Source organism: Homo sapiens, chromosome 3 (assembly GCF_000001405.40).
Source record: "Homo sapiens chromosome 3, GRCh38.p14 Primary Assembly".
In the NCBI taxonomy this organism is placed as follows: domain Eukaryota; kingdom Metazoa; phylum Chordata; class Mammalia; order Primates; family Hominidae; genus Homo; species Homo sapiens.
This window is the reverse complement of record NC_000003.12, coordinates 144,237,963-144,250,402: the sequence shown is the minus strand read 5'-3', so window position 1 is coordinate 144,250,402 and position 12,440 is coordinate 144,237,963. Positions and strand designations below refer to the sequence as shown.

Here is a 12,440-nt window from a genome sequence, read left to right as displayed (position 1 = left end):
GAATTTTGAAGAGTATTTTCCATCATACCGGCTAAATATACTAGCTTAATCACTACATAGATAAACTTTAGTGTATTTTTCTTTCATTTACAAGAGAGAATCCACTTTGAGCATCGCTTTATGAAAAGAACTGAAGAATCAACAAATTTTTTTTCCATAATGACATAAGACATTGCTGCACACAAAGTGATTAGAATACTATTTAAGTAAAATAGGATTCATATTTATACTCCAACTTTCTGTATCCAAGTTGGTAAACCTGAAAAATATTAAGAAAAATTTCAATTCATAATTTCCTATAATATTCAAGATCTATACTCAGAAGAGAGACTAAGGACACCTGAATAAAATAGCTACAGTCAGTGTTTGGGTGCTGTCAGCCTACAGTAGATTTCTCCTTCTGGAAACTAGTTCCATCCATGAGGGAAGGACTTCACTAGTCACGCTTATAATATGAGACCCTGCAACCCTGGTCACAGATGATTGGAATTAGATAAGCCCCTGATCCCAGCTAGGCCTAATTCTCTCTTCCCCCAAAATTTGTACAAAGGTGATATAAATTTAAGAGAAGTGAACCACTCATCTCCACCTGACATGTGCATGGGAAAGGAAGTAAACAATATCTTGAAAAAGAAGAATGAAAACATACAAAGACTGAAGAAAATACTTGAAAGGAATACAGAGAGAAATATACAATACTCTTTAAATTTCTGAAGCTGTCCATGTGCAGATTTCAGATCCTTGAAATACCTATTTACTTTTGGGTTATCTTTTTTTTTTTTTCTTTTTTTTTTTTTGACAGAATCTCGCTCTGTCACCAGGCTGGAGTGCAGTAGCACTTGGGTTCTGTAACTTACCTCAGTTTAATAGTTAGTATTCCTTTTTTTCCTTCCTTACTGTATTTAACCACAGTCAGAATTCTTTAGGTTGCAAATAATTGAAACAACAAAAATTAGCTTAAGCAAAAAAAGTGTTGGTTCATATATTTGAGAGAAACATAGAGAATAAGACTGGGCAACATGGTGAAACCCCATCTCTCCAAAAAAATGACAAATTAGCTGGGCATGGTGGCACACACCTGTAGTCCCAGCTACTAGGGAGGCTGAGGCAGAAAGATTGCTTGAGCCCAGGAGGTTAAGGTTTCAGTGAGCCGTGTTAATGGAATGTACTCAAGTCTCAGTGGCAGTGTGAGATTCTGTATAAAAAAAAATGACAAGAAAAGAAAGAAGGAGGGAAGGAAGGAAGGAAGGAAGGAGAGAAAGAGAGAAAGAGAGAGAGAGAAGGAGAGAAAGAGAGAAGAAAGAAAGAAAGAGAGAAAGAAAGAGAGAGAGAGGAAGGAAGGAAGGAAGGAGAGAGAGAAAGAGAGAGAGAAGGAGAGAAAGAAGAAAGAAAGAAAGAGAGAGAGAAAGAATGAGAGAGAGAGAAAGGAAGGAAGGGAGGGAGGGAGGGGGAAGGAAGGAAGGAAGGAAGGAAGGAAGGAAGGAAGGAAGGAAGGAAAGAAAGAAGGAAGGAAATTGAAGGACAGTAGGAACCAATGCCTAGGAGGACTAGAATTTAGAACCTAGTAATGGCAAAGATGCCCTCTCTGTTTCTGCTTTCATCTCTGCCTGGTTTTATTCTGCTGCCTGGCTCCTTCTGTCTGATGGGGAAAATGGCTGTTGATGGTACCAGATATAAACCCTTCTAGCTGAGCAACCTTAGCAACAACGGAACCTCTTTTCTGACATCTGGGTTATCAGTTTAAGATGAGTATTCTGATTGACCTGCTAAGATCATTTGATAGACACTGAACCAATAAATGTGTTTAGGAGAATAGTCACTGACTGGCCAAGAATGAATTCTGTATCCACCTCATAGTCCTGAGTGGAAGAGTGAGACAGAAAACTTATAACTTGAAAATGGAGAGTGGAAGAATTCTTGCTGGGCAGCCCAAAACAATAGCTACAGCCAGTCAACATTCCTGGTTTCTTTCCATTTATAAACTCTTTTCTTTCATATTGTTTGTGTTTAAGGTAGCTCAAGTTAATTTCTTTTGCTTCCAATCAAAACAATTTTAATTAAGACAGCATTCCTGGGAGTCAAATGGCTTGAATTGTATAGAGTGTGGCTAAAATATTTATCATGAATTATCCTACTGTTAGTCATTGGATAAATTTGTAGCTGAGTTTGAAGTCACATGGTTTTGAGTTTATCTATGAAATATGTATGTAGCTTTTCAGGCAGTCTTCATTGATTCTCCTTGGGAAAGTCAATCATGCATATTGGTTTCATATATAAAATGAGAAGGGGAAAGTACTAACTGTTATGTTCCTTTCCAGTTTTACCTTTCTCTGAGCCTATAATTCTAAGTAAATGGTTCATTAGTCCCAATAAAATATGATTTTTTTTCTGGCTGCCATTAATTCCTTTGGTAGTTTCAGATTCTCAGCAAATTTCTCAGTACAGTAGTTTCTCTATCAACAAAAGAAAACTATAGAAATAAGGAAACAGAGTCCTTAATTGTTATACATGTTTACAATTGAATATTATGCAGCTATTTTAAAACTTTATGATGCCTTATAATAAAATATCACAATTAGGATTCAAAAATTATGTGTATAATGGAATTCCATATGTTCAACTCATTTATTTATTTACCAGATATTAAGTGCCCAACATGTGATTGGTACTATTCTTAAAAGCTGGAATACAATAATGATAACATAAATTTTATATCTTCATGGAGCTTACACTCAAGCAGTGCATATAGACAAACAGAGAAGCAAAATGATAAACATATAATACAGACGATTATGGAAATATGAAGCAGATAAAAAGAAGTCCATTCATTCTTTCAATAATTTTTTTGTGAGGATTAAATCTCAACTAGGTACTTTTCTAATCTCTGTTATAATAAGACTTATGGGGACTACTTAGCAAATGAGACACTGCCCCTAGGTAAGTTCCCTTTGGGTCCATAGTGTTCATGAACATACCCAGTGGTGACTTCAATGATCAACAGAGTATGATTGGAATATACATACTTAGTAATTGTCAGAACCCCGATATTGGTTTCTGGATATTGAGATAAACTCTTATAATGAAAAATACGAGGTGGAAATCTCTGAAACTTCCTACTATAAATCAAGAAGACTATCACATTCTAGGGAGAAAGATTAGTGCCACACTTAATGACCTAAAAAATTCAGTGTGCTCATCCCTCTCATAACTCTCTGGGCTATTATCTGGCCCACATAGATCCTGAATGACACTACCCCACCCTACCAAAAACTCAACCTAGTTGTAGAATAACTGGAGGGTGCTGTGACAAATATGTAATCTTTTCTAGAGAGGATCAGTGCATGCTTGGGTACATAATACTCAACCATTGATTTGATAAATATATTCTTTTTCATTGCTATAAGAATGGAAGATTAGAAACATTCATGTGATAGTGACAACAGTATATATTTATATGCTTGCTTCAGGAATATGTTAATCCTTTTCTCATCTGACATAATATAGTCCAAAGACACCTGAACCATTGTAATACTGTAAAGAACTTATTAGTCTACTCTATAGATGACATCATGCTACTTAGACTAATGAGCAGGAAATAGCAACTGAATTGGTGGCCTTAGTAAGACACACATCGTCCAGAAGATTGGAGATGGACTGTACAAAGTTGCAGAACTCTGCCTCATTAATAAAGTTTTTGTTTCCTGTGCTCTGGGATATTCTGTGATGTTTCTTACAAAGTAAGAATAAATTATAACATCTTTCAACTCCCACCAAAAAAAAACCCCACAACATCTGATAGAAATCTTCACATTCTGGAGGCAACATAATCTACACCTGGAAGCACCTCTGATCCATTTACCAGTTGAAATGAAGGCTGCCAGCCTTTAATGGGGCTCGGAGCAGGAAAAGACTTGTAGGTGATGCTACCAGTGGCTTTATCAATTGGACCACACAATCTGGAGTGCCCTATGATACTAAAAATATCTGTAATGGGAAAAGAACCAATTTAGAGATTGTAGCAATTCCCAATAGGTGAACCATCATGTAGACATGTAGAGTATTTTCATAAACTGTAACTACACATCAGTCCTCATCAGGCTAGCCAGACAGCAGTGGCGTAAATCTTCCTAAAGTACAGAATTAGGACAGTGCATTTAGTGATTATCTACTTTTATTGAAAAATGAATGTGCCAAGGTCAGAATATTTACAAATTCACTGAAAGAGGCAAACAGCTCAGTTGGTTGGTCAGAAGTCTGAAAAAGAGAAATACTGAAGTATCAAAGACAAGTAATTCTAGGAAAAAGGAATGTGAATGAGCCTATGTGAAGATCCTTATATTTTTGTATTACATGCTAGTGCTCATCAAAATTAACCTCCTTGGAAGAGGCAATAAATAACAAAACAGACGGAATGGTTTGGTCAACTGAAAAGTGCCTGCCTCTGGGATGATAAGTGTACAGACATAGCTCAAAAAAATATGTTCAGTAAGTCAGAGTGGCAAGAAAGGAAGTTATGGATAGGCCCAACAGCATGGAGCCCAGCTCACCAAGGCTTGTCTAGCTATTTTCCCTCCTGAATGTCCAACATGTTGGCAACAGAGACCCAAACTGGGTCCACAAAAAGACATCATCCCTTTATCCCAATCGGCCATTTAGTAACAACTGTACTACACGGACCACATTCTACTCTGTAAAAGGCAATGAATCATCCAGCTTGACTGGAATCAATACATATTTTGGGTATGGGTTTGCCTCTTCTGTCCTCAAGGCTTCATTTGGCATCACTATCTAAAGCTTAAAATATTTGGTTCATTGACCCTGGACTCACACATATCACCTCAGATCAGAGGAACCAGTTCTGTAGCAAAGGAGGTGTAGCAATAGACGTAAAATCAGGGGACCTACTGGTACCACCTAGAAGCTGTCAGTCTGATAGAGCAATGGAAGAGCCTAATGAAAGCATAGCTAAGGTATATATTGGGAAAAAAATTTCTGGTTCCCAGTGGAGTAACATTTTCACCAGGAACACGGTAAAAGGACATTCAAGTTTTAACTACAGCTTTTGCTCAGTCACTTCAAGTATCATGTGCCAAGAGACCAGCAGGCAATGAAAAGAGCTCCTTACTGGCAAGAGTAATTAATTCAAATGATCCAAAGGGGTTAAAGCTGCTATAATAGGGTCAGAAAAACATATTCGGCCACACAGATTCACTGGATAGTCTCTGTACTCTCTTCTGAAATTTTGACAGTAAATAAACAAGTGCAACAACCATGCCTAAAAGCAGCATAACTAAGGACTCAAAGATAAGGGTCTAGACTACCCCACCCAGTAAGCCACCTAGAAGAGCAGAAGTGTTAGCTGATAGTAGAAAAGGATGGCAATGGGCCTGAAGCTTAATTTTCTAACCTTCTTCTTGTAAGCTTCCCCTGAGTGAAAGAGGCTTACCCCATTGTCTTGAAGGAGCTGTTCCCATTCTGTTGCCAAGTAAGTCACACCAAATAACACAAGAGTTAGACTATCCTTGCAGCACACTGCCCCCAGCACCCCCTTCACGACTGAAGCACTAATTACCCCAGAACCTGCAAGAAAGATTGCTCCCAACCTAGATTTCTTCTGGAGCTTGCCCTGGGCTGAAAAGAGCCACTTCATGAACAATTGCACCTCCGCTTCTGGGCCTACATCCTCTACCTGGCTGATGTCTGGATACGAGGGACCAGTCCCATTGTCCCAATTCAGGATAACCCTGGTAGATCCATTCCTTTCCTCCTGCAGAGTTGTGGAATCATCTGAGAGCTTTGATGTATCTACCTTGAAGCCCATTTTCTCATGCTGACAATCCTGCTTCCTTCTTCTTCCACAAGTATTGTTTTTGAACTCACTCCCTGTTAAACTTCCTGCACACAATTCTCCACCTCACAATCTGCTTCTCATGAGAACAAAAACACAGATTTACAAGCCTCCAGGTATTATTTTACCCACTGTTTACTATGAAACACAGATACATCAATGTCAATAAGCCCTTCATATCTGATGTTATTACACAGCCTATGTATTATGTTTTGAAAGCATAATAATCTTAATATGCCAGGACATTGTAAATCACTTGGGAGTGTTCAAATTTAAAGAAATAATGTGCTGAAATTATATTTTAAAAATTAATGAGAAAATTTACATCTCACCTTAACTCCCTTTATTAGCTTAACCACATGTCAAAACACATACAATACTATAAAACATAGCACCTGGTAAGGCTTTTTAAAAAAAACGAATAATCTATCTGTGAAAACATTCCATCAGAGAATATGAAGTCCCTGACTTTATCTGAATGATGGAACAGTTTTGAGTTTTTAAGAGTGTAAAAAATCTAATAGTTTCTTTGTTCTTCTCTGGGCAATAACAATCTTCCCTGAAATCTGAAAGCTTGGAGAATTAACATATTTTTCAATTCAAACCTTGAAAACATCCATTTATGTCTCAGTGATAGGAATATATTGTGGCAGAAAATTTTCTTCCACTATCAAACACACTTTTTATAACCAAAGGAAAAAGTCTTAAGGATATATCAAAAACTCATGCAGTTCACCAAAATTAATACTTTTACATTTTATTACTAACCAGGTGTACATTAATAGACCTTAAATGGGCTATGGTTATCAAAAATACTTTGTCTTTTTGTAACTTCTTTCTCCTTGAGGGCTCAAAGAATTTTTTTTTTGCAGAATTAAAACATTTACAAAGCTTTTAATACAGGTTTTCTTTTCTGTAGGGACAAAATACTATTTTAATATTCAATTCTTTGATATATTATTGATGTCTTTGATAAGTTACATCGCGGTTGAAGCTATGAATACCATTTAAAATTACTATTTTTCCTCTAGCATTTCATGAGATAAGGGGGTCTAATTAATATTTCATCACCCTAAATGTGAACATAAATCTATAGGAACTAAAGTATTGTCAACTTTAAGTATATCTGACCCTCATTGTAATAGGTCAGTGGTCAACACATTTATTTCCTGTGCCAAGTGTCCAAAACAATAGAATGCCCTAAGTCAGGATAATATTAATGAGAATTTAATGGGGGACATTATTTCAATTTTCTATATCTGAAATTGGTTAAAGCAAGGTATTATAAGAAGAAAACTTGTAGATTGTTCTGAATTCTTTAAAAGCCTTTTTGTCTGGAAAGCATATTAACAAATTAAACCCAATAACTGAAATGTTGATGCACTTTCAGCCTTTTAGCTGAAAGCAGGGCAATTATTGGTAGTGAAAGCTTTATCACAGCTTTGCAGTTTCCTGGCCTTTAAGCCTGAATCTCGATAAGTTTCTGAATGAGGTGTCATTTTAATAGTTACGTGTCCACTTAAATATCATCAAATCAATTGTGATCATTGCCTGCCAAGTTGTTCTATTGCTTTTCTCCTTCCCAACCATAGTGTTCCTTTGACAATTGTTCTGGATCTTTTCTCTGGTTGAGAAAAACACTGCCCTTGGCAAAGATGTGGATTTCTCCACTGCCTTTCTCATTGCTATGTCCTTTTCCTGTTTGGATTGCTTTTTCCAGGGTAGAATTCATGTTACAATCTTGCTTTATACTGACACTGCTATGACCTATACTTGACAACAGACCAGCAGTTAATTGCCATGGTCAAGACAGAAAATATTGAGCATACACTTGTCTCTGCACTGGTAAAACATTGGTTCTTGCAACAGAACTCAACAGGAACCTTTGTGTGATGAATCTTTTAACAAATGAGAGATCTGTATACTGTAGATACAATTACTCAATTTAAGTCATTATAAATAAGAATATATTGCAAGAGAGCTGAAGTCTAAACCTCTCTCATAATGATCCAATATACCAATCTTTCATGTCTGCAAGACCTGTGATCACCTCAATTCATAGGTCATAACCACAGGGGTTACCCCAAACACCCTAATAAAACATTACATGTCTGACATGATTTCTCTCAATTGAAGCCATCTGACAATCTAGTTTTTGAGCCAAGTGTTTTCATATTTGGAAGAGCATATTCATCTAAGTGATATCTAGAGTTATATTTTATTATAACCAGAGCTTAAATATAGTGTGTCATTTTTTATTTCCATAGGATTATATGAAACAGCAGATAACCATCTTCCCTTTTCTCCCCAAAAGAACATCCCCCCACACACATATGTAAAGGCCAAATAAAAATAAATTATTTCTGTATGTAAATAGCTTTAATTTTTGTACTGAGTTTTGAATATTTATTTTAATTACAAATTCAACTTTTCAACTACTGTTTGTTTGAAAGAAATACCTTGAAATTCAATTGTCATTGATCCTTCATTATTTTCTTAGTGTGAGCAATGTTTAAATTCAATATAATATAGAAATTTTATCCCTGCCTTCAGTAAAGTGAAGTACCAAACTTGCTAAATTGTTAGATAGCTCACTGAACTCATCTGACAGCCATTATGTGAATATTTGAACATTTGCTGGTTATATAGTTTGCATGCTTTTCTAATAAAACAAGGGGAAAGTTCTCCCCCATGAGAGAGACATTCTCTACCCTTATAGATCAAGGAAACAGTGCATGGACTTGGTCCACTCGCCCATCAATTTTCCTGTAACATCATAACTCATTTTCTATCCTACTATCTTTAAAGAAAAATAAAATGAGTGGAGAGTCTATTATTTCTCATCAACCTCTCCAGATAAGCAACCATTGCCAACTGTTTCACTGACTTAAAGCATTCCTTTATTTCTCTTGTCAGATTTATTGTCTTTACACAACAGTTTCCAGAGCATGTTATGAAGCCCTGGAGGCTCATGCTCAGACGGAACAGCTGCTCCTGCTGAAAAGAATCTCTTATTCTCAACATTTTCACCATTGCTCCCGGGCAGAGTATCACACAGTGAGCATAGCCTTCCACACATCCGTGGAGTTAGGCCTTCCTCTGGCCAACAGAGCATAATTCTGATGAAAGAGCCATGCTAAAGTTTAGCACTATTCTTCAACTTCACAATCACCTTCCACTCAATACTTTTTTTCATTTTAAGAAAAAAATGTTTATTGTACAAAGTTTGAGAAGCACAGATAAGAATAAAAATAAAAGTCACTAATAGCCTGCTACCTGAAGATGACCTCTGGAGTTCATAACCTTAGGTTTATCCTTCCAGCAATAAAATATACAAAATCTCTTTTTTTTTGTTTTCAAAATTAATGCCATACTATACCACAGTTTTGAAAATTGCTTTTGTTCATTTAATGATTTTTTTATATTTGTCCATGCATTTTTAGTGGTCATATAATGTTTCATTGTACGGATGGTCAATTTTACCTTAAAACCTTCCCTTATTTTAGAACATATAACTTTTTCTTAAATTGTTTGATGTTATAGACAGAGCAGAAATCAGGCTGCCATTTGGACGTCCACCAGCAGGGAAGGAAGGTTTCTACAACTCATTCTTTGAAAATATGAGGACTTATAACTTTAAAGATAATTTTTGCCAAATTGATTGGTGATGGATGGTACTTTTAGTTCTGTTTGCTTGTATTCTCAATATTGGCCACACAGACCTTTGGAGAAAGAAGGAGAGGTAGAAGAGTGTTCTCTCTGTGCCAAGTTCTGCTAAAAGTTTTTCACACATTAACTTTTTTAACCTTTACAGTAACCCTTGACCTTCTATTTTTAATTATGCCATTTTAAAGTTGGTAAATTTGAGAAAATATAGGTTATTAGCACATATTGTACATAGCTTTAGGGTTTTTATAGCAAAAAGCTGTACATGATCTTGGAAAATTTGTTTTGCTTCTCTCAGACTTGACTTTCTCATTTTTGAAATGAGTGAGACATTCAGATCTCTCACTTCAAAGAGCCTAAAATTCTAGATTTAACAATAAGAGATGCCAACAGTACATTGCAGGTATCTCCACATTCCAAAAATATAAGGGCACTAGACCATTTATGAAAGGCTTGAAAAAGGAGAGCCCAAAAACATGCTCTGCAATTGCCAGCCAAACACACTTTGAGGGATTACAAGAATACAGAAGAGTCTCAGTGGAGAAAATCATCAATATGCTGCAGCAGTTTCCCTCACATATCCTTTCCATTCTACCTATACCATTGCCCACCTTGTGGAGGGAACAAGAGGGGAAGAGAGTAGAATCTTTTTCTCTGGCCTCAGTCACATGAGAAGAGGCACTTCCTGGGGACTATTCAAAGTAGCCCTTCGGAATTTAGGTTTTACAGTAAAATGGTGTCTCAGTTTTGAAATGGTACTAGCTAAAACCCTCTGTGACAATAATAAAGAGGCAGTAACTGGGAACTGTAGGGGTGAAGGGAAAGCTTCTCCTTTTCCCTCAAAAGGTTTGCTGAAAAATCAACTCATGAAGGCAGATTAATTGGAAAAAAAAGGCATAAAAATTATAATTAATGTGTGTACAGCAGCCTTCAAAATGAAGTCCCAAAGTTGCAGGGGAAATTGTCCATTTTTATACTTAGGTACAACAAAGTATGGACAGCCATGTAGAAATATGATTGGATAAAAAGAGTAAGATCTAACAGATTGAGTGGGGAAACCCAGGATGGCCTGTCTGGCTAGATTCTTCTTGGCCTTCTGGGAATGGGGCAGCATTTTCTCTGGAATGAGGGTCTTATGATCTAAAATCAAATAAGGTAAGTCAGATAATTTTCTTTATGGCCAGTTTTTACACAGAAACGTAGAAGGGAAGTTAGGGTGATATTTTTAGGTTTTATGACTGATTTGGGGGAAAAGGAGTTCTAGTTTCTATGACTAGCCTTGAGGAAGACAGGTTCTAGCTTCTACAGCTCGTTTCATGGGAGAATGGGACTGAGAGGCAGATGAACAGAAGGAGATCAGAGAAAATATTTTGCTTCTGAGGCTGTTTCTAAGGCCCTCATCTGGGGGTATTATTTTCTGATTTCCAACAAAACACTGACAGCAGATCAAAGCGGTGCGTGTGTGTGTGTGTGTGTGTGTGTGTGTGTGTGTTTGTGTCCAAATCCAAATGTGGAACCCACTAAAGGGCTGGCTCCTTGGGCACCAAGCCAGAAGTAGGGCTATTTTGGCAGAAGGAACACAGGGCATAAGTAAACAACCATTCGCAGGAGAGGTTCTCACCGTGTTAGAGATTTGTAGTCCGGGCGTTGAGGAAAGATGCCCACAGGTGCTCCTGCAAGACAAAATTTCAGCTTTAAATACCTGCCAAGGTCAAGAGAAACAAATACCAGATTTCCTTAGTACCAGCCAAAAACAAACTTTCTCAGCCCTTACCTCTCCTCCCTACCTGCTGGCAACCTAGAGGAAAGAGTGGAAAAGAACTATTGCCCTGAGCAGGTTAAAAGAGGCAGATAGAGAGAAAATGAAGTTGCTTTACAGTTGTACTGTATAGAGTCTCACCTCTTCCCATAAATAGATTGATTCGGAATGTATCAAAGGGACACAAAACCTCCTCAACTTGAGCATAAATATGCCTAATGCTAGTTTCAAACTGGTTTGGGCATCCCTGGTAAACTGGTGAGGTGGCCCTGCTGTGGTCTCTGCTAGGATGCTCTCAGGAAGAGAAAACATTTTAAAGGAAGAGGAAAAAGGCCAGGCACAGTGGCTCATGCTTGTAATCCGAGTACTTTGGGAGGCTGAGGCAGGCAGATCACTTGCGACCAGCAGCTTGAGACCAGCCTGGCCAACATGGTGAAACCTCATCTCTATTAAAAAAAAAAAATATATATATATATATATATATGTATATATACACGTATATATATATACATATATATACATATATACATATATATATACATATATACATATATATACACATATATATACATATATACACATATATATATACATATATATATATACACACATATATATATACATATATATATATACACACATATATATATACATATATATATATATACACACACACACACATATATATATATATGGCAGGCATGGTGGTCACACCTGTAATCCCAGCTACTCGGGAGGCTGGGGCACTAGAATCACTTGAACCCGGGAGATGGAAATTGCAGTGAGCTGAAATCGTGCCACTCATTCCAGCCTGGGCTATAAAGCAAGACTCCATCTCAAAAAAAAAAAAAATCGTAAAGGTAGAGGAAAAATAGAGCCAATGCAAAGCTCTGTATCTCACAGTAAAGAGGTAATTCTAATATGGTGTTTATCAAAGGGATTTTCTCCTGCCTTCTCTAGACTCATGTAGCATATAAAAAGAAAGTGAAGGAAAGACATAAAAATGAAAGATTTGTCTCCAAAATGTATTTTTCCCTGTCCTTGCCATGGCTGACTATGACTAGAGTATACACTTCTTGGCCATGTGACTTGCTTGAGCTAATAGTATGTGAGCATAAGTTGCAGTGCATTCTGAAGTCTTAAGGGGTATTATCTGTTTCCACTCAG

General features: G+C 36.9%; 1 long non-coding RNA gene across 2 annotated transcripts in view; it reads right to left on the bottom strand.

Moving 5' to 3' along the window:
- LOC105374140 (uncharacterized) overlaps window positions 1-12,440 on the bottom strand; it is a 266,957-nt gene that overhangs the window by 234,548 nt on the left and 19,969 nt on the right. For both annotated transcript variants that reach the window (XR_007096124.1, XR_001740941.2), the window contains exon 2: window positions 11,136-11,187. This is a non-coding gene — a long non-coding RNA (uncharacterized LOC105374140). The remainder of the gene's footprint in view (window positions 1-11,135; window positions 11,188-12,440) is intronic.